Raw genomic sequence first — 23,045 nt, 5'->3', positions numbered from 1 at the left:
AAGATAATTAACAAAAAAAATTCTACCATACAGAAACTAAAGAGAAACACGGCTCCAAAGTTCTTACCTAGAGTATGGATTCATTTTATTTTGGATAAAAGAATATTTCCTTCTCATACATTATGATACAAAAACAACCTTTGTCTTGCTTAATACGCAAACACAAGCCTCATTCCCTAGCAAGAGTCTTACAGATTATAGACAGTGATAGCCATTTGAAATTAGACCAATATAATATCACTTTTCACATTTACATCTCTGCTTTTTGCCATTGGTAACTGATTATTTTCCCAAAGGCTTCATAAGATGTTGGACTTGGAAGGGACCTCAGAGAGCATCTGGGGCATCTGAGAGAGATCGGGGGGGTCGGCAGCGTGAGAGTCACCTGGGGGCTCATTAGCAATCAGGCAGGGCACTTGGGCCCTCTCCTGTCCTGGATTTTAACAGGGTTCCGGGTGATCGTTCTGAAGTGGTCCCTGTCCCAGGACTGGCCTGGGCTGGCCGCCAAAGTACCAACAACGGGGAGTCTCAGACCTTGTGAATTTTCTGGTCTAGCAGTTTGGGAGTCAAGGGAAGGAGCCTGGGAAGAATTTATATATGTATTTTTCTTTTTCCTTGTTTTTTTCTTTTTAATTTTTTCATGTGAGATGGGTCATGTGCTGACATCTTAACAAGGTTTGAGAGAGGCATGTCTCACACGAGTGTGAACGCCCCAGCATCATGCTGATGACCCACAAAAGGACAGGGAATTTATATATATGGAATACATATCTTTTGAGTCAGGGTTTTGCTGTTGCCCGGCTGGACTGCAGTGGCACAGTCATAGCTCACTGCAGCCTCAAACTCCCGGGCTCAAGTCATCCTCCTGCCTCAGCCTCCCAAAGTGCTGGGGTTACAGGCATGAGCCACTGCCCAGTCAGGAGTTGATGTTTTCAGCAAGGCCCCCAAGCACTTAAGATTCACAGGCAGGTTTGGGAGCCATGGAGTGTGTCTAATTCTCACGTAGACAGGTGAGGGGGCAGCCCAGAGAGATGAGCCTCTCACCCACAGCACCTGGACCCAGTGGTGCTCTGCATGCAGCAATACCGTTCCCCAAGCCCTGAGGGTCCCACATGCTGAGGGTCCCACATCACAGTCCCGGCTGCTCACCACCGCCAAGCACTGCTGGCTCATGTCTCATTTGTGAAGCAAAGGTAAGGGGGCCTCTGAGAGACCTGTCTGCCTTGCCCCCAAGCCACTGTGTCAGCTCTGCAGGCTCTGCGAGCCACCCCGCCATAGCCTTTGCGTTTTTTTGTCCCCCACTGCCCTGGCACACCCCTTCCCACGCTGGCACAGTGCACTGCACTCTCCAGTCTAACTGAGTGCCTAGCGGTTGGGCCAGTTTCTCTGGAACCTCAGGGCCATGGCACACGCAGCCCTCGCTGCCTGAGGCTCTCAGGGTCACTAGAGGATGTGACTCAAGCATGGGCTCTCTGGGGGCATCTTCCCCTCCTCACAACTGGAGGAGGCGGCCGGGGCTTCTTCCCCATGGCACACTGCAGGGCACTGCCATACTACATCTCTGTACCCACATTTCACGTGAGACCGCGAGGCCCTTGGAGGTAGGGACCATGCCTCATTCACACTCTGTCCCCGGCATCTCTTGCAGGATTTGACACACAGAACACACTCCATGTGCTGTCTGTTAAACACATGCGTTATGGCACTGCTATTTACCCCCTCTGCCTGGCTCCGAAATTCATGTTCTTCCCACATGGAATCTTCTATTTTTAGACCACGTTTCTGACCATTATAATGACTTCCCAATTTCTGATGCCGAGCAGCAGTGGGTCATGCTGTGGAGGACTTCACCCTCTCCTTTAGTCCCCTCCACCCTCCATTCAATTCCTTCAGTCACCTTCATCTACCGGAAAACATCATCCGCAATCTCAACTCTTCTCCAAGCCCTGTGCCCGCCCAGTGGAATTTCTGATTGTTCGTTCCACCAGATGATCTGGTTTTATCACCTGCATTATCAGGGAGAATGTTTCCCAGGCCTCTCAAGTGGAGTCATAAAAAAGGAGACCACCAGACTTGTGGAAAGGAGGGCTGGGCCAGTGAGGCCCGCGCTCAGCATCTGATGAGATACATCAGACCATCTGCTGGGATCGCGCTAGAAAATGAGGCAAGGGCTCTGGAATGCCAGGACTCCCTCCTCCAAATTTAGTTCTGGTAACATTTGAACCAAGTGTTTTGAGGACAACTGTCGGTGATAAGCCAGACCTGCGTAAGCAATTCAGGGCAACTACTGTGACTCAGGGGCGTAAAGGTTATGGAGGGAAGGGGTGAGTTTGTCAATGTAGGTCTGTGAGAAAGCTATAAAAGGAAGATGTTTAATGCTTACTGAATGTCTCTGTTTTAAAATCAGATTTCAACCTTGGGTCCAAAAAAGACACGTTTTTGTTTGGTCTTTTTACTGTTTCTATGCCAGGGTATGAGGTCAGCAGATTCGGAGTGACGTGCAGTTCTGGTGGTGAACACGAGGTGGCAGGCAGTAGCATCCACCGGCCCTTGGCTGGAGGCACAGATTTGCAAGCGGCAGTGATGTCAAAGATTTTGAGATTGTTTTGGGTTACAATGACTCATCTCAGTGGGAGAGAGGGCAGCTCCCTCATTTGTCACGGGGAGCTCACCTCCCATGGGGAAAGTCCTGACTGCAGAGTTCCAAAGATGTCGAAAGAGCACATCGAATTCCATTTTCCTTTCTACAGGGTGGTGGAACAAACTCAATCACTGATTGGTTGGACAATTCCCTTCCCTTTGACTTGCTTAAAGGAAAGTGTTCCAAATTTGTGTATTGGCGGACCTGTTAGGCCCAGCCCATTGCAGAGGGTCCACAAGAGAGTGTTTCAGGTTATTAGCTTTGACCCCTGGTTGGGACTAAGCTAGAACAGCAGCTGACATTTTTACTCTAGACTGTTCACTGTTCGGAGCACTTTCCAACAGTCAGCCTATGTAGTCCTCACAAACCTCTACGAGGTAGGTACTGTCATTGTACCCATTTTATGGTGAGGAAACTGAGGCACAGAGAGGTTTGGGCCATTTGGCTGGTATATGAAAGAGAAGAGTCATATGGGGCTTTTCAAAAGAGTTCCATAGGGCATTGTCATCCACACAGACTTCCCTTGAGGAACAGACATGACCTTGGACTCTGAATACATCTTTTCCACTGATCTTCCTGAAGCGATAATTAAGCCAAAAGCAGATGGACAAATTGTCTACAAAAATAAACAATGTATGCCTGGGGTTCATGGAAATCCGTACAAAACCAAGCCAGCCACAGTCCTGCAGAGGTGATTTAAGAACATGGCTTCTCTGCTTTAACCCTACCCTGCTCAAATGTAGCCATTTCACGGCTCATTAATCCCCCTCCCTGCTAAAGAGTGATGGGTAGAAAAAGAAGGTGAAACCCAAACAAGCCATTTCTGTTACTTTTTAGCAATGCTGGTCAAAAGGTATGCAGAGGAGGCCCCTGGAGCTGCAGGCTAATACTCTGAAGTAGTAACACACTCCAGGGAAATATTTAGACATAACCTATGCTTTCTCTACCTTCTCTGAACAGATTCGTTGTTGAAAACAGGCTGCATTAGGAAGATTTTCTAAACAGCTGTGGAGTTCTGCATGCTAAAAAGGTTGGCTGTTTAAGCATATTCTGAAGCAGGGTTTAGCTGGACCTTGGAGAAGACGAGCTTTGTGTTCCAGGGGAGTTGTGGGGAATCAGGAGGCCGCTTCGCAGAGGCCCAGGTTCCTTGGGAGAAGGCTGTCGTGGCTGAGAAGACCTGTAGGGAGGCCTGGGTGCTGACCACAGATAGGAGCTGAGATGGGACGTGGGAGACGGTGGTAGAAGTCCCTGCAGTAACCCCACAGGCCGTGAGTGAGGGCTTAAGAGCATCGAGAAGAAGGCAGCTGAGAGGAGAAAAGGGCAGAATGGTGGCCATTTGGTTTGTGAACAAACCGAAGTGATTTAACACTGATCAGTTAAACACAGATTCACGTGATTTGGAGCCCCGTGCAGTCAAGAAGGAAGAGTACCAGATTTGAAGTGCTACCGGGGTTGAATCCCAGCTCTGCCAGTTCTATGACCACAGGCAAGTCACTGCCCTTCCCTGAGCCTCAGTTTCTTTATTTGGGAAATGGAAATATTCACTGATACCACCTAGCTGGGTTCTGATGATCTTTCCACCAGATGGAAGAAAGATGTCACTGTTTTGATTTCTGAACAAACCAAGCTGATATAACAGTAACATCAGTAACATATTTTGTCGTGAAGAAAACAAAAGGGTATGAAAGTGGCTTCGAATTTGACGCCAAGAAGAAAAGGAAAGCTACGGGAGAAAAAGAACAGGTGCTGGGGGTCATGTACGAATGGGAAGGTTTTAGGAAGGTGCCAGATGACAGCACCAGTGGCAGAAGCCCATACATCAGATGGTGAACTTGGAGTCCATGTCACTGAACCCCAAGGGGCTGTCCAAGAACAGAATGAGTCTCACAGTGATCAGAATTATGTTTGTTTACAGCCAGAAGCTACCCTCAGGATGTTAGCAGCAACTTAAGGTATCTAAACATACATTTGACCGTGAACATGTGGAATTATGAGCTTGGCAACAACGCCTAGAGAACAACCTGGGCTAACTTTGAGTGTGATAACTGCAAGCCCTGCGAGGGGACAGGGGACGTGGCCCACGAGTGGCTGAGCAGCCTGGCTTCTTGCTCACGGATGTCTCACGCTCCCTGTTGCCTTGAAGCTTGGTGTGAGGAAGGTTAAATGGCGGACAGTAAAAGCCAGATCCCAATTCAGTCTTCCTCATCTCTGTCTTTAAAGGTATCTAATATTTTGGAAATCACCTCGCTAGGAACTTGTACAAAGCTACTGTCCACAGTAACACCGAGTGTCTGATGCTGGTCCTGGAACCACTGGCTACCAGGGCCACCTGATGGCCCTAGCATTGGCTCTGGGGCGGGCGGGACGTGTGGGCCGGGTTTCACCACGCCGGGGTTATTGTCTGTCGTCTCTCCAGTTAACAAAGGGCTGGTGCTATCTGGACATCCTGCACTCCCCCAAGACTCCCCGGTTTGGAATGATTATTTGGGCGAATGCTGAACACACATCCGCAATTAAAAAAAGAACAACAAACCACAAGAAACTGATCTTTCTTTAGTCTGGTGGAAAGATAATGCATGGCTCATTTGTCCAGACATGAAGCCCGGGTCCTGGGTGAGAGGAAACCAAGTGACATTAAAGTCCATTCCAGAGAAGTGACTCAGCTGGCGCCCTGTTCTCATGACATGGGCGAAAACAGCCTCCAGAACACTGGTTCTTCCCAACAGCACTTGTTAAAAGAGAAATCAATAGCAGTTTTCATCCACGAAATAGAAGGCAACAACTGAGTGCAGCCGTGCTGCTCCCGATACGCTTCCTGCGCATTTGGTGTTCACAAAGGTGTAGCGGCAGCAGCGCAGACACCAAAGATGCACGCGGTTCATTAGGAACAAGGAGCATTACTGGGAGAGGGAAACTAGAGACCCGGGGTGGGTCTGCGCTGATCACGGTACATTCTTGCTTTCTTTGCGGTTGGAATATCCATATTGCGATTTACCCGTCACAGCCTGGGTGGTCAGCTTCGTAATATTAGTAAGATTATTCCTAGAAAGCTTCACCCGTGATGTTCTTGTGAGATTTTTGTGCAAGAATGTGTGTATATGTGTGCATGTGTATATGTGCGTGTATGTGTGTACATGTGTATATGTGCATGTGTGTACATGTGTGCGTGTGTGCATGTGCATGTGTATATGTGTGTTATGTGTATGTGTCCGTGTGTATATATGTGCATGTGTGTACGTGTGTGTGCATGTGTATATCTGCATGTGTGTAAACGTGTGCGCGTGTCCATGTGTATGTGTGTGTGTATGTGTGCGTGTGTGCATGTGTGTGTATATGTGCGTTATGTGTATGTGTCCGTGTATATATGTGTGCGTGTGTACGTGTGTGTGCATGTGTATATCTGCATGTGTGTAAACGTGTGCGCGTGTCCATGTGTATATGTGCGTGTATGTGTGTATATGTGTGCGTGTATGTGTGTGTGCATGTGTGTGTGTATATATATGTGTGCGTGTGTGTGTACGCGTGTCATGTGGCTGTTGTGGTCTTCTGCTCTCATTATGACCTGTGTTTGTCTCACTGTGAATGTGCTGTTCCACCAGGCAGGAGCAATGCCGCAAGGATGTTTGGCGCTTTCTCTCTGTGTCCACGCCCGACCATATGAAAGGCCTTCCACACCAGCGCATCCCGCTTCCTCACTCCTAAAGGATCCATGACCCCGACGATGGCCAGAGGGCGGCTCTGCATGTCTGGAACTTTGGATACACTGCAGTGGCAACACCTCTCACATCAGACAGGAGCGGGAGAAGGGGCAGGACTTGGGGACGGCCAGCCGACGGTGAAGCCAACTCTCCTGGCCTCACATCCCAGAGTGTGGGTTCATTCTCTTTTCAGGAAGCATGGTCATGGAGGAAATTTTTCTCTATTCAAAAAGAACCTGGACACATTCCAAAGCCACTTCCTGTCCCCCATTCACACCTTGAACCATGGTGAGCTGGTTTCTGGCCTGACACTCTTCTTCAAGGGCCTGCAATGCCACTATCCCCAGCTGTGAGGGCCCCTCCCCGCCCTGGGGACCCTTGTGGCCCCAGCACAGCTGCCCCCTCCCTCCTGGAATGGGCTCTTCTGGTGGCCACGGACCCGCCTGCGTTTCCCCTCACTCCTCTGGCCCCTTCCTGATTCCTGTTCTGCTCAACATTGGAGTTTTGCTGCTCTCTTCCCCTCCAAACTCATGAGGTGGGATACTTCATTCACACCAAACGGCTTCAGTGAACGCTCAGAGGTGGATGGCTCCTACCTCCCTCCTGGACGCCTCTGTCTAGAGGGTCTAGAGATACTTTAAACTCAGCAGGCTTCAAGTTGAACTTCTTACCTCATTTCCTCCAACCTTGCTCCCAGCAAAACTCCAAAAAACAGAAACAACCCCCCTTTCCTTCTCTGCTCCTTAACTCGGTGAATTGCAAGGCCCACAAGCCAGGCTTCAGAACCTGAAATGGGGGAGACACTGCTGTCCCCCGTCCTCACACTGCACTGGGAGGGCACTGATTCCACTGGGCTTTCCGCCAAGCATCTCCGGAGTCTGCCGTTTCCTCTGCATTCCCAGCACCTCCTTCCTGGATCGGACTTCCTCCTTGCTTGCTTGCATTAACTCTGGAACTGCCTCTGTGCACCCCATCCCACTGCACCCTCATGCATCTCCTCTCTTAGCTGCCTTCATTCAAATTCTGAAATCCAACGTGTTCTCCGACTCCTTTCTAATGTAAAAACGTGAAGGCCCCTCTGCTCCCTGCAGAGTGAAACTCGGGTCGGTGGATGTGATGCCCAGGCCTCCTGGTGCTGCGTGTGCCACGGCTTTCTAGGTGCAGCTCCTCTCTACCCTGCACTCTGGTGGCTGGAGCCCCGCATCCATGGTCCCTCACTGTGTCTGCTGACATCTCCACAACTGTGTGACGCTCTCCTCGCTACACTGGCCTTTCCACGTTTCTCCTGGTGAACTGAACTGACGCATCATTCCTCCTCGCTCACTTCTTCAGTGTCCCAGGCGGGAGCTTCTCCAAGCCGTTTCCTGCAGGGTTGGACTCTCCCACACCGGCTTTCCCACCCGAGGGGCGCAGTGCTGCCCTGGGCCAGAGAGGGTGCTCGTGAAGGGTTGGTTTCATGGTCAATGCAAGTAAATATCAATTATTTGAAATAATCTCCTCCATCCCACCGGGTTTATATCACAGAGATTCCCAGCACCATGGAGAAGCATTGCCTCCTAACTGCCCTGCCCTCTTCCCTGAGGAGGCGATCGGGGTGGGCTGCTTGGATACCAGCCGCCTCTTGCAGGATGAGCCCCAGGAGCAGGAGACCCTGCCGGGCCCCTGAAGGCATAAGGGGAACAAGGCAGACTCTGGTCCTCTACCTTTCAGCCAGCAAGGTTCAATTCCTCACAGTTTACCAGTCCTCAAATGTTTAGTAATCACCAAAGGAATGAGGACTGCTGCCAAGGATACATATACACACACGCACAGATGTATACATACATGCTTCTTAAATTTAAAAGGTGTGAAGAATAGGTGACGGAGAAAAAACATGAGAGAGAACAAAATGTATGAACTCTATTAGAAGTTAACTTCTGGCAGTGTAGTAGGAAAAGCGTCTCGGCTAATGTATAAATTACCAAGAAAAAAAAAAGAGTCCCACTAAAAAAACCAGGTACTCACATCTAAATTTCTAATTAAATTACAATTACTTTTGAAGCTCATCCCCCATAGAGAAACTTCTCCTGGGATGTGCTCTAGGATGGACCTGAGTTTTGCTTCTATTGGAGCCAGTCATGCAAGAGTGAGAGGGTCCATTTGCAAATAGAATTGCATGCAGGGTCTTGCTGTGAATTTACTGACATGCTCCTGCTTATGCTGTCACTTCCTTAAGACCAGACAGCCTGTGAACCCTGATGAGTATTTCCAGTCCTGTGCCGGGCTCTCAGCCTGGGACTGCTTGGGGCCTACACCTCGCCCACTTCTCCCCAGTCTGCATCGATGAAGGAAGCCATCAGTGTCCGTAGGGGCAGCAGATCAGCTTCTGCAGGCCACTCCCACATTTCTCTGATTTCTGACAGTCCGCTGGTTATGAACGACACTTTACTATCTGGTTTACATTTGGGAATTATGGTGAATGCTGTCATAGAATTTACTGGCTGCTCAGTTTGGCAGTGTTTTCTTTGAGCCAAATATTACTTTGTCATGCAAGACAGTAGCACTTTCTCGGAAGCTGCAAATCTGACATGCCAGGAAAGAATCCAGGCGGCAGACACTTGATCACTGCAAGAGCAGCCATGGCTTCCCCCGATCGGGATTCATCAGAACATGACCTCCAGCCACAAATGCGCTTCATTGTTTTCAGTTGTTCTTCACTCACCTTCCCAAGCTCATTCCCAGAGACCCCAAAAATGTGCTGGGCTGATACCAGCAGGTTCCTGGGATGCTCTCTTAGAATCCATTGAGCAGCATTAAAACCAAGGCCACCTACTAGTGGGAAAGACATGAGTCACTCTCCCCTCTTAGAAAACCCCAGAAACCAAAAACCAAGGGAAAAAGTGAGGTGGCTTCAAATAGTATATAAATTGCTCAATGTGTAAGTTGTCCATGCCTGCAGCTACCACGTCTTCACAAAAAGGGCAACTCAAACACATTCACCTCCACAGAGCTGAGATCAGGTGACTGGGCCCTGACTGCGGGGCCATTCATGTCCTCCAGCTTCTCCCCCTGTCTAACGTGGAGGTCCCCTCATGGTGTAAGTTTTATGCCCTTCTAGGAAAACGTCGGGTGATGGAGAAGACGGGTCTGGGAGTGGAGCAGAAAGCCAGAAGGGGCAGGAAGGGGTGGGGGCCGGGGGTGGGTCCCACACCGGGACCCACTAGTGGGCCTTTCCTGGGACACAGACTCAACCCAGGCTTCCATACAGCCTTGTTGAACACATCATGAGTCCCACCCTTCCCGAACCTCCACAATATACACCAGCATCTTTTTTGTGTTAGTCCATTTCCCAGCCATAATTCACCCTGGTGACCTCTGAAATAATCTGCTGCATTTGGATTTTACATGGATTTTCTAAAACGTTTCTCTGTAGCCCAGATCTCCCTCCAGGTACCACCCTCTTCTTCCTCTCTTCCTAACGTTTTTAAATTTTATTTATTTCTTTGTTTAATTTTGAGACAGTGTCTGACTCTGTCACCCAGGCTGGAACGCAGTGGCATGATCACAACTCACTGCAGCCTCAACCTCCTAGGCTAAAGCAATCCTCACTTCTCAACTTTCTGAGTAGCTGAGACTACAGGCATGCACCATCATGCCTGGCTAATTTTTTTGGATTATGTTGCTTACTTAGGCTGGTCTTGAGCTCCTGAGCTCAAGTGATCCACCTGCTTCAGCCTCCCAAAGTGCTGGCATTACAGGCATGAGCCACCGTGCCCAGCCCCAACTCATTTTAGAAATGGTGTGGTTTCTACCCTTGTCTCCCAGAGGCGCTAGGTCCTGTGGACCACTCCCTCCTCCTAACCTCCTCTTTCTCTGGGAGAACTGTCTGTGGCTCCTTTCCTGTCTCTCTATCCACTTGGTCTTCATTTTCTTTTCAGGGATTCCTTCCTGGACTCCTTCTTAATCAGTACTGTTTCTCAGACCCACCTCCCTGGTCCTGCTCTTCTTCTTACACACACTCAGCAATGGTGGGTCCATATGGGGACCCTCCTGTGAGCCTTGGCGGCTCCTCCTTGTTGTATTACACTCCCGGCACCTCCCTGTTGGCCTAGCACAAGCCATGCCTTGTGTCTTAGCTGGGGACAGCCTCCTGGCCTCCCCCTGCCAGGCAGTGAATTCTGAGAGAGTAGCTGCCTGATACAAGTCTGCACCCCCTGCCCATATCACAGAACCCTTCACGCAGTAGGTGTCAGCATGTTCGCTGAGTATATGAATGATTGCAATATATTGATTTTTATAAGTCTGGTATTGTAGAGGAGTAGCAGAACCTTCAAATATGAGTCGGCATCTAAACAGCTCAATTGACCCAGAAAGTTTACCTTAAAAAGGCAATGAGCAATACTAAAATAAATCTAAATACATCATACTTATATTATTTGCTAGCTTTTACTTCTTTGTTTTGAGCAGTAACTGTTATGGTCTGAATGTCTGTGTCCCTCCAAAATTCATGAGTAGAAATCTGATCCCCAGTGTGTTGGCATTAAGAGGTGGGGACTCTGGAAGGTGAGTAGGTCCTGGGGGTACAGCCCTGGTGAGTGGAATTAGTGCATCTCTCAAAGAGGCCCAGGGGAGCCTGTTGTCCCTTCCGTCATGTGAAGACATAGCAGCAAGGCACTGTCTATGAAGCAGAGAGCTCTTACCAGACACCACATCTGCTGGTCACTTGCTCTTCAACTTCCCAGCCTGCAGAACTATGAGCAATAACATTCTGTTGTACATAAATCACCTACTCTTAAGGTATTTTTGTTATAGCATGGACTACGAATGGACTGAGACAGAAACTGGTATTAAAAGTGGGATGCTGGGGTAACAAATACTTAAAAATGTAAAATTAGCTTTAGAACTGGGTAATGGGTAGGGTCTGAAAGAATCTGGAGGTGCATGCTAGAAAAAAACCTACATGGCCATGAACAGAACCTTAAGGGTGATTCTGACGAGGGCTCATAAGAAGAGGGGGGCTGTAGAGAAAGCCTCAACCATCTTAGAGATTCCCTAAGTGGTCATGATCAGAATGTTGGTAGAAATGTGTACAGGAAAGGCCATTCTGATGAGGTCTCAGACAGAAATGAGAAGCATGTTATTGAAACTAAAGGGAAGGCCATCCTTGTCACAAAGCAGCAAAGAATTTGGCTGAATCATGCTCATCTACTTGTGTTTTGTGGAAGGTAGACTTCTGAGCCATAAAATAGGATATTTGGCAGAAGAAATATCTAAGCAAAGTGAAGGTGTGGCATGACTTTTCTTGACTGCCTATAGTAAAGTGTAAACAGAGAGAAACAAATTAAAGATGGAATTTATCAAGAAACAGAGAGCAGAACTGAAAGATTTAGAAAATTCTTAGACTGTCCAGGTAGTAGAAGAGTAGAAAACATGTTCAGCAGAGAACATCGAGATTGTAGCCAAGCAAACATTTGATAAAGAGATGAGTATGGTAGAGGGAAGCCAGATGCTGCTAATCAAGACAACTGAGGAAGGACCTCCGGAGGCAATCTTTGGGGCTGCCCCACCCATCTTAGGCCCAGAATGCCAGGACCCTGGGGCCAGAACAATTTCAAGTCTCTGCTCCCTGCAATCGGATGCAGTGCTCCTCGGCTGCCCCAGCTGTGGCTCCAGTGGGTCCAGGTGTAGCTCAGATGGTCTCTCTGGAGGACACAAGCAGGAAGCCTTCGTGACCTCCACGTGGTGCCAACTCTGCAGGCACACAGAGTGCAAGAGCTGTGAGAATGTGGCCACCTCCACCCAGCTTCCAAGGGATGCCCTGGAGAACTTCTGTGACCAGGCACAGACCTGACACAGGAGCAGGGCCAACAACAGAGGCCCCACAAGGGCAGTGTTGTGGGAGAGGGGCTCCTCACTCCGTAAGGTGAGGGCTCATAAGAAGAAGAGAGTTGCAGAAAAAGCCTCAGTCTGTCAGAACACCATGAATAATATTCTGTTCATGGCAGTGTAGGTTTCTTCTAGGTGGGGAGGTGTGGGAGTGGGGCTGCCCCCAGCACCCAGAACAGTGGAGTGACCAGTTTGCCCAGCCTGGAGAGCTGCAATGAAGGCTGTGCCCAGTGAAGCCATGGGAGGCGGGGCTGCCCCGAGACTCAAGGAACCAATCCCCACCCCAGTGTGTCCAGAAGGCGGATATGGAGTCAGAGATGACTCTCAAGACTTAAAATCGAATGTTCTTTGCCCTGTTGGGTTTTGGACTCACCTGGCATCACTTACTCCTTTAGTCTTTCCTGTTTCTCCCTTTTAGAATAGAAATGTCTGTCTTATGCCTGTCCCACCATTGTATTTTGGAAGCACACAATTTATTTGATTTCATAGGCTCATACTGGGAGAGAAATGTGCCTCAGGATCAATCATACCTGGACTCTCACTTGATTTAGATGATATTTAGATGAGACTGTGGACTTTAGACTTTTTAGGTTGATTTTGGAAAGAGTTAAGACTTTTGGGGGCTATTAGAATGGAATGAATGTATTTTGCATGTGAGAAGGATATAAATTTTGGGAGGTTAGGGGTGAAATGTTACGGACTGAATGTGTCCCTCCAAAATTCATAAGCTGAAATCTAATCCCCAATCTGCTGGTATTGAGAGGTGGTGCCTTTGGGAAGTGATTAGGTCATTAGAGTGATGTCCTCATGAGTGGGATTAGTGCCCTTATAAAGGAGGGAGCATCTGTCCTTTCTGCTGCGTGAGGACACAGCAGCAGGGCACCATCTATGAATCCTGGATCTCATCAGACACCAAATCTACTAGTACTTTGATCTTGGACTTACCAGCCTCTAGAACAGTGAGAAATAAATTTCTGTCATTTATAAATTATCCAGCCTAAGGTATTTTTGTTATAATAGCCCAAGTGGACTAAGACAGTAACTGATTCACAGAAATTTGGTTTTCAAGACGTTTTAGACCAAGAGAACCCCTAAACATATAGGTGGATGTAAGCTGGTTAACTTATCTTGCGCTGACTGTGCTGAGCATTATCAGTTTCTAATGATATCAAGCTACTTAGAAAGCAATGAAGCTGAAAGTTCTTCTAAAACAAAATGAGAACTTTGAAGAAGCTTTTTAAAAGTAAGTTTTGTTTGTTTTAGTTCCCCTGGGTAGGCAAACATATAAACAGAGCTCCATTGTCTCTTCAAAACCCACTTAATTAGGTTTTCTCAAGTTTATATGGAAAACACCTTTGTGGAGTTTGACACATGCCATACTTCATATTGTTTTAACTACTCTTCTTCATTTTGAAAGATACAGATGGTACTAAAATGAGTTGGATTGATTCTCTTGAGCAAAGGCAATGCTAACAATACAAGGAACCAATCCTCATCTACAAAACAGGTTTTAGTTTTGACAAGGTTTGTACCTATGAGCTTGTTCTCTGGTCCTCCTCCCCACCTCCCAATTAACAGAAGGTAACCAATACTATGCAATAAACAAATGGGAATGAATTTATGATAAAGGGCAAAGCTGAACAACTGTTTGGATGGGACAGTCAGCTATAAAACTGAAAACTGCTGAAGCCAACTCACTGGTTAGGAAAAAAGTTGGAAATGCGTGGGTGTGTTCTCAAGGTCTTAGGAAAATTCCGGAAGTCCAGCAGATGTTTTCTGTTAGGAGGCAATGGAAGCCCCAAGAGCTACATCTTCTTCTTCATTCTCTTAATTATAAGTTTACTTATGAAATCATTTTTTTTCTTAAGTATCTCTCTGCCAATACTTACAAAATAGAAGGCTGGCCAAAGTAGTCAACTCATGAGCCTTCCTGTGTAACCAGAATATGTGTACGTGGGCAGGAAATCTCTATAGGAAGCAGAAATCTAGGTCCATCATTATAAATGCTTTATCTTCTGAATAACTCTTTTAGTTACTGAAGTGGAATTACAACTTTTTTAATCTTATCAATTATAAAAGTATATTCAGGTTTCATTGATTACAATATTTTTCCCCCTTTTGGAAAATGATGTAATTAATAGTCATCATAGTAATTTTTCTGTTTTTTTGGTTCTCTATATAAACATTAATAAATGGGGATAGATTCAAGGAATCAGAAGTTAATGAAGCATATTTTAAACATTTAGACTTTCTGCTGTCTTAATTTTGAATACGTGTTTGAATACCTATGGGAGGCTACTTTTCTTACTGCATTTGCTTTACTAGCTTCTGTGTTATGAAATCTAACCATCAACTCTTTCAGGGAGAAGGAATGAACATTTCCGTCTGACCAAAGTTTCAAAAGTCAAGAGGTGAATTAATGTTCAGAAAATACTTAAAATCTTATTTAAATTTCTCATCTGCTTAAGAACTTTTTCACTTTTTTTTCTGTAGTAGGTATCTGAAGACCAACTTTTTCACTTTTATCACATATGCAAATTGATCTCCAAAAGGTTTATTAGAGATTGGGTCTATATATCAAAAGGTACTTTATGAATGAATTAAGAAGGGAGTTTCCTATCTAGGCTGGCTAGTTAGTGAGGTTGCAGAAGCAGTCAGCATAAAAACTTTGTTAAAGTTCAGGAATCCAGCTGGCTGTATGTTTTGGAGAATTTGTCTGATTACTACACATGGTTACTAGATCTATCGTGAATATGGAACAAATTCAAGAACATTAGATTCTCTTGGCCTTGTGGAGATTACTCAATTCATCTAGAATTTTAATCGAGCATCTTACAGATGGAACTTCTGCAATTATCAAGCTTCAGAAGCCATGACCAAAGCAAACCTCACTCAAATCTTCTCTTACCCTCAAAACAGAATGTTTTCCCCTAAAAGAAGCAGGTGGCCTATCATATTCCTGCCAGGAAGATCCTGCAGGGCAGGCATAATCAGATTAAAATCAATTAGATGAACTGTGTGGGAATTTGCATTTTAAACATTCTCATGGCACATCCCCCCAAATTTAGACAATTTTTGAAAAGTTCCAATATTTTCATATATTTCACAAAACTGGATTGTGTCACCAAGGGAATGCTATGCATCTGGAGAATAAAAGGTTTCACAGGACCTAGGCTCAGTTCCACACATTTATTTTTGTCCTCTGTGGGAAAGAAAATAGGTAAAGTGGTTCAGAGATGCAAGACTTTAGGTCTGGGGCCAACCAAACTCAAAGAGCTGCTTTAAAGCCCATTATGGGTAAAGCTAGACTTCTTCATTCTCAGACCAAGTCAATACGGGAGCTCACTTATGCCCCACATGCCAGCATGAATATGTCACTAATATATGATGGCCATCAAGGTTCTCTGGTTGTTTTGTGAATGTTATCTCTCAACAAGGTGTCTGACATCACAGGCTCTGAGGGCTTACGGGAGGAACAAGATTTTATCTTTGCTCTCCTTGGTGATCTAGACAAGTGGTTTAACCTTGGGCTCCTGTGCGGATGTGTGAGTTAAGTAGCTAGTGAGGGAAAAATGTGATAGGTGTTCAATAAATTTTCTTCACCTTTCTCCCCAATGCCCTTTCATTCCTTTGACCTGCTTCTTAAACATCCTTCACAATAGTTACCAGAATACTGGGCACAGAGTGGCCTGGCTGCTTAACAACTTACACATTCTCCCAGTTTTCCTGCCAATAAAAAAAGCTTCTTACAACTAAAAACCGGCAGGAATTTGTGGTTGATCTCCTTTGATAAAATGGTCTAAGTGAGCCAAAAAAGATACAGTTATATATAAGTAAGGCTAAAAATACTTTTTTTGACTTGGCTAAAAAAAAAAATTGTTAAAAAAAAATCAACCTAAATTGATTTGGTTGATGGACTAGATGATCTCCAACTCCACCCTGCCTCTGGGCTGGGTATGTCTGATATCTTATAATGCTGACTGTGCTTTTTGTTATTTGATTCTTTCTTCCTTTCTTTCCCTTTCTTTCTTTCTTTTTCTTTCTTTCTTTTTTGACAGAGTCTCACTCTGTCACCTAGACTGGAGGGCAGTGACACGGTCTCGGCTCACTGCAACCTCCACCTCCTGGGTTCAAGCGATTCTCCTGCTTCAGCCTCCCAAGTAGCTGTGATTATAGGCATTTGCCACCACTAAAATCTAAAACCACTAAACTAAAAACAAAACACTAAAAACACCATTTGTGTTTTTAGTAGAGTCGGGGTTTCACCATGTTGACCGGGCTGGTCTTGAACTCCCGACCTCAACTGATCCACCCACCTTGGCCTCCCAAAGTGTTGGAATTACAAGTGTGAGCCACTGCGCCCAGCTCATTATTTGATTGCTAAAGGAAGTGATGGCTATACACTTATATCTCTGATCTTTTGCTTATTTACATTTACCGTTGTCATTTCTATAGGCAGTTGAGTTTTCCTCATAATAAACATGTATTTTATTATTTTGAAAAAGTTGCACTTGAATACATTTCACACCTTATCTTCCCCCCACCTAAAGGAACATGTAAAAATAGCAATAGAAACAACCAAAAAGGAGAAGGGACAAGAGAAGAAGAAAAAGGAAAAGGAAGCAGTAGGAAAAAAAAAAAGAAAAAATCTGATTTTTGATTTAGATTTTTGAGTTTTTCTAAAAATAACTTCAAAGCCCTTCAAAATGTAATGGTGTGGAGAGTTGATCTTTCGCTTTAGCCTGCATCTGTTCGCGAGTTTTCCCAGCAGAGATGACTTCTTCTCCATACGATACAGCTGCTCTTAAAGCAAGGATTTGCCCATCTTTTCCAATCATTAGGGGGTTGCTAAAGTTTAACGTTTGTGACTCTTTCTGTTGGACTCAAAATAACATAAATAAACTTGTGAATATAAAATATGGTGTAAAAGCCTTCTTCTGAGTGTCCTCTCACAGCCCCCAAACACAGAGCTGATTCTTTCTCCTGCCCTCATACCCACCCACTCCCTCTCCTTCCTGCCCACAAAGGACTATTCATCCACATGCGGCTGACACGCCCGTCTCAGATCGCTTTCTGCGTGGTCCACATGATCCATTATTCCTTCTGCTACATCGATTTGCAAGTGGTAGTTCAGTTCAGAGCCAGTACTTCTGGCCTCCAGTTTCGATTTACTCCAAAAACGTCTGCCTTGCCAAGATTGTGAAATATGCCACCTACGATGTTCTTAAAAACTGAAAAAAGTTCAAATGTTTATTAGTGGAAAAATGTGCATCCATCACTAAGTGGAAATGAGAAATAAAAATTCATTTAAAAAGTGCTCATACGGCTTACTTCCCTCCAATCAAGCCTATAAATACTGACAACCTGAAGCCTGAATCCCTATTTAAATGACAGGGACCCAGAGTGATGGCTTGTGATGCTCTGAGGGGTTCTTCGGTTCCGGGGCTGCCCAAACCACTTCCCTGTTAGACTTGTATTTGGCAGAACCTCCGTGCAGAAGTCCAAGACTGTTCTGACGCATTTGTAAGTAAACAGACTGTATAACTTATCTTCAGACAAATATCAATGGGGGCGGATAAACAGTCGGCCAGAGGAGGTTTTCCAAAAACTCTCCGACGGTCATGTGATATTAACAGGGCTACACTGTGGTCTTGGCAGGCCTGCTCGGGCCTTGAGCAACGTTATGACCAAGGATGGTAGCAGGCTGTGAATAAACTCCTATTAGTCATGTCCGTGAAGCCTGGGTGCTCAGGAGGGAGAGTGAGGCTCAAGCCTTGTGGAATTCAGTGCTCTGACTTCAAACTCAAAATAAAACCACAAAACATTTGCACATTGACTAGACCTCTGAAATCTCTCTATGCATACCATCTGACACGTTCAACAGTTTAAAAAATGAAAGGAGACAAAAATTTGCTGTTTGTAAGAAAGAAATTGCAATTCTCTACAATTTGATGCTGGTTTTATCATTAGGGATTGGAAACGCCTTTAATTCTCTCCTCACAAGAAAAAACGGTCCGCTTAGTCATTTCTAGTAAGATTCTGAATGGCTTAATCTTAGACTGCCATGGGGTTTAATGACGGGGTGGTCAGTCCCCATCATTAGCAATGTTAAAGGAGGGCGTGGTGAGATGTCTCATGATCAAAGGGCCAAGAAGGCATGTTCTCCAGAAAAGACAAGAGCCCCATTTCACAGAACATCTTGATGGCCAGATTCTACCACTCCTGGAGCTTTCTTGAGCATAAAACAATCCCCCTGCCTCAGCTGAAGTCCAGGGTGATTCAACCCAGAGGGCTACTCAAGAAAAACACGGGGCATGGAGTTAGACTGTGCACGCTCCCCCATTTCCAACGCAAGCCTGCATGGGAACCATCTTGTCCCTCTTATTTCAGAGTCAGAGAAACTTCCACATGTTTTTACAAGCATGGCTGGTTGTTAAAAATCGTTCTCAATCTGCGAGATTCAGTCACACAAATCCCCAGAGTCAGATTCACATTTAAAAGAATAATGGAAGGCCAACACTGGTATCAGTTGTAACAAATGCAGCACGCTAATACAAGATGTTAATAATCGGAGGAACTAGGGGTGAGAGGTAGCGGGAGGGGATATGGGTACACTCTGAATAATTTTTTTGTTTTTGTAAATCCAGAACTGCTTTAAAGATTAAGTCTATTACAAACAATAGAAGGGGGAGAAGAGTACATTCATTTTCACTAAAACCTTTTCTTTCTTTTGACTCGTTACTTTTTATGTACTTTATTCCATATCCCTCAAATGGAATTAGAAATGGACTTTTATTTTGAGACAGAATCTTGCTCCGTTGCCCAGACTAAAGTGCTGTGGCGCGATCTTGGCTCACTGCAACCTCCGCCTCCTGAGTTCAAGCAATTCTTGTGCCTCAAACTTCCGAGTAGCTGGGATTACAGGCATGCGCCACCAAACCTGGCTAATTTTTATATTTTTAGCAGAGACGGAGTTTCGTCATATTGGCCAGGCTGGTCTCGAACTCCTGACCTCAAGTTACCCGCCCTCCTCGGCCTCCTAAAGTGTTGGGATTACAGGCATGAGCCACTGCGCCCTGCCAGAAATGGACTTTCGCATTTGCTTCAAAAGCACAAAAACTTTTGGGGAAAAAGTTTTCAATTAGAAACAAAATGTTATATCCAGTTGAATATAATGACCACATCTAAAAATGTAAAATGAAAATCACAGGAAAAATGTGTCACGTTCTCATTTAACTTTGCAACATGAGGAGTGGGGCAGGGAGTGGAGAGAGAGACACAGACAGGATGAACAAGCACTGAGATCGTGGGACACCTCCCCTGCCATCCTCCCCATCAGGAAATCCCTTATGTGCCTTCATATAGTATCTGTCCACAATGAATGAAACCCCTTTAAAGACTGTCCTCTGTCACACAACATGGCAGTGGCAGTCACTTCCCAGGCAGTGCTCCGTAGAAGGAAGAGTGACTTGTTCTAATGTTGAAGGGAACTGGCTTTGCTGGACCTCCTAAGACACAACCACTGTGCTCCAAAGTTGCCCTGCCTGAAGGATTTGTAAGGGGAATGCTGGCAATACCTAATTATCATCTTACGCATTGATATGAGATCCAGTCCTCCCAGGAGGAGACAGGTCTCCACTGTTGACCTCTGGGCACTAGGGCCAACCCTGTGGAGGACCCGTGGCTTTGTAGAAAATGGAGGCTGCTAGGAGTTCTCCAGCTCTGGGTCCCCGGAGACGTGCTGCACCCTATCTTTCCATGTGTCTCCAGCAAGAAGCTGTGGATAATTTGACATGTGTCTGCTAATTCCATCAGATCTTTTTTACTTGTTTTGAATTTGTTCTGAATTGAAAATCAAATCTATGTCAGCAAGTTGTGGGAGTGGAGAAAATTAGGGAGTGGCCAGGGGATCTGAGCAAAGAGCACCAGATGGGCCAGAACTCTGGTGTATGTTTTGATGTATTACATGATGGAATGCATCTCACTCTAGCAAAGGCAAAGGCAAGTAATTCATCGGCCCACCCGCGGAGGAGCCCACCTCTCCAGCAGCAGTGTGGGAAACAAGACTGACTGAAGCGTGGCAAATGGCAAGGCGAGAACAAGGAACTGAATATTGGCCAGAAAATGGACCGAGAGGTCGTGTGCACCAAGACCATCCTTGTGTAATTGCACGAGTTAGGAAATGAACATAGGTCAACACAACTGGGGTACGGGTCATGCAGTCTGGGACGCATGTTTGGATTTGTGGCTGTGAAACATCCCCAAGGTATGATGGCGCTACCAGGAGAAGACCTGTGACTCAGAAGTCAACGTTCCTCTCTCTACTTGTGCGAATGTCATGTGACTGTCCTATCCTCCATGTTCAAATGCTGACCAGCCTAACCAGGTTAGAAACAGTGGACAAGTGGCAAACTACTGAGCCTCTCTGCTCCTCATGTTAAAGGGGGAAAATAGTAATAAGTGAGTTAATTACACACAGACACACACACGCACACACAGAGCAAAACAGTGTCTGGCAGAAAGTAAGCACTACATCAATGTTTTCTCTTGTTTTACGATTATAAAATACCTATTTGCCAAATTATCAAGGGAGTTAAAAGATCCTTAACCTAAAGACCTGTGAGAAAAATTTTTTACAAAGTCAAGCACAGGTGGTTCCAGCATGGATTTTCTCTCATGCTTCTACTGTCCCATCTGACTCTTCAGCACACAGATATGGTGGAGAAAGTCATCATATAGTGGCAGGGGGTATGGCCAACACCTCATTCTGCTGGAAGGTTTTTACTATGAGTCCTACAGTAATGTTTTGGGCAAAGATACTTTGACCCTCATTGTATCTGAGTCATGTAAAAAAGAATTTTTTTTTTGACAGCATCTCACTCCCTTGCCCAGGCTGGAGTGCAGTGGTGCGATCTCGGCTCCCTGTAACCTCTGCCTCCCAGATTCAAGTGATTCTCTTGCTTCCGCCTCCTGAGTAGCCGGGATTATAGGTGTGTGCCACCACGCCCGTCTATTTTTTATATTTTTAGTAGAGTTGGGGTTTCACCATGTTGGCCAGGTTGGTCTCGAACTCCTGACCTCAAGTGATCCATCCACCTTGGCCTCCAAAAATGGTGGGATTACAGGTGTGAGCCACCGGGCCTGGCCTTTTTTTTTTTTCCCTCTTTATAGTGGGATTCTCTTAAAATGGCCTAGAATTTCAGCACTAAATATAGCTGAAACTTGAGTAACTAAAATCCAATAATAAAATCCTCACTACTCAGACAAAGAATTGAAATACATTTCAACAGAAATATTTCATTTTATATAGCCTTACATTATACTGGATTGTATTCATAAAAATAGGAGTCCTAACATAATTTCCACATCCAAGTATTGCCATTTATAAATTCCAAACTTTTGAAATTATTCTTGGATGGGAGAGCAATTTAGCATTAAGAAATTGAGCCAGCGAAAGGTTCAGTTTTATATTTTAATTTTATGTTTCCCTTAAATAGCCTTTAAAATGAGCTTGTTAGAGAAAAGAAAGAGCTCAATTTTACCTTACAAAAGAAAAGCACATGAGATGAACTGTATTCAGCATTTCTCATGAATTTACACTGCCAGAAGGGATTTGAAGCCAACCTCCATACTGTTGCCTTCAGCACCACCGTGGGCCAATCCTCCCAGGTGGGCGACACCAGGGGGAGATCAACAATACTTCGCAGCTGTTCGTGTGGATATTTGCTGAATCACTGTGAGTTCTCGCTCCAGGCTAGTCAGAATCCTCCATGTAAGTTTTTCCCTTCTTATTCTCTACATGGTGAGGATGAAAATCAACCACCTGCCCCATGGCTATCAGCCCTTTCTAAACTTACAGACTTAATACAATTATTTCTTAACTTTACTTTCTTGGTCCTAAATTGTCTCAGTTCTTCTACTTCTTTCTTTTAGGACTTAATTTATAGTTAAAGAGGAGGGAGGATAGAGGGCACCACAGCAGACCAGATGGTTTCCAGAGCAGGAAATGGCCAACAATTATTCTTGACCACAGTTAGATAAGGGTCGGGAGAGGATTTTAAAGCAAGGGATTCTCAGGCATCCCCTGAGGAAACAGGAATGAGACAGGCGTTGTACTAATATGGTCTTTTTTTCTGCATGGGGTAGGGGACATCTGCTGCTGCACAATACATTTTTGGGTGAACAATTCACAGGCATTTTTCACATACTGAGTGGACACACAGGCAGAGGGGCCGGAAGAGCCCCGCGGACTCACAGCACTGCTGTGACCGTCTCTCCTCCCACTGCCCTCGAGGGTCCCAGCTCCTGGTTCCTGCAGACTTCGGGTATTCTGTCCTGGCTTCCTCCTCTTCAAAACCCACCTTTCTCCCTGCATCTTGGAGATAAATACCCAGTCCTCCTCCATTTACGTTTCAACTATAGCATCATTCTTTGAGTTTACTTAAATTGCTTTGGAACGTGAATGCAAGAATAAATCAGTTCTTTAGACTCTTCATATTGGTTCTTTTAAATCAGTCAAGTTGTTGACTGACTGACTTGTTTTCTTGATGATTCTTTATTTTACTCTTAAGTTCTCACCATATTCAACCGTGACTTTCAGTATTTCAGTATTTCTTTCAAACTCCTCTTTTTTCCTAGAATCTCAAATTTGAAGTTCTTCACCTCCTGCCATTTGTTGTTGAAAACTTGGGTCTTTGTTACCACTCCCCTCCAAATCCACCCTGGGAGCAAACAGAATGTGTGGGGCCAAGAGGAGAGAAGGCCCCAGAGGAGACACCTGCTGGGATGTGCAAGACACGTGGGGGCAGAAAGAGCCCAAGAAACCTGGGTAAATATCCAGC

At 45.5% G+C, this 23,045-nt stretch overlaps 1 protein-coding gene and 1 non-coding gene across 2 annotated transcripts in view, besides 1 other annotated feature; both read right to left on the bottom strand.

Moving 5' to 3' along the window:
• The window catches only part of COL4A2 (collagen type IV alpha 2 chain), a 205,926-nt gene that overhangs the window by 98,262 nt on the left and 84,619 nt on the right, over window positions 1–23,045 (bottom strand). The window lies entirely within an intron of this gene.
• Window positions 642–743, bottom strand: LOC124903267 (small nucleolar RNA U13). The gene has a single exon (XR_007063966.1). It is a non-coding gene; the product is annotated as a small nucleolar RNA U13 (small nucleolar RNA).
• Window positions 2,452–2,746: a silencer, noted in NCBI's record as "tiled region #13414; HepG2 Repressive non-DNase unmatched - State 12:CtcfO". NCBI's record gives its function as "represses a minimal TATA promoter and a strong SV40 promoter by Sharpr-MPRA in HepG2 cells {active_cell/tissue: HepG2}" and the evidence as "EXISTENCE:reporter gene assay evidence [ECO:0000049][PMID:27701403]".

The sequence above is a fragment of the Homo sapiens genome, chromosome 13 (assembly GCF_000001405.40).
Source record: "Homo sapiens chromosome 13, GRCh38.p14 Primary Assembly".
NCBI lineage: Eukaryota > Metazoa > Chordata > Mammalia > Primates > Hominidae > Homo > Homo sapiens.
Note: the sequence above shows the minus strand (reverse complement) of the source record. Positions and strands in the feature narration are given on the sequence as shown.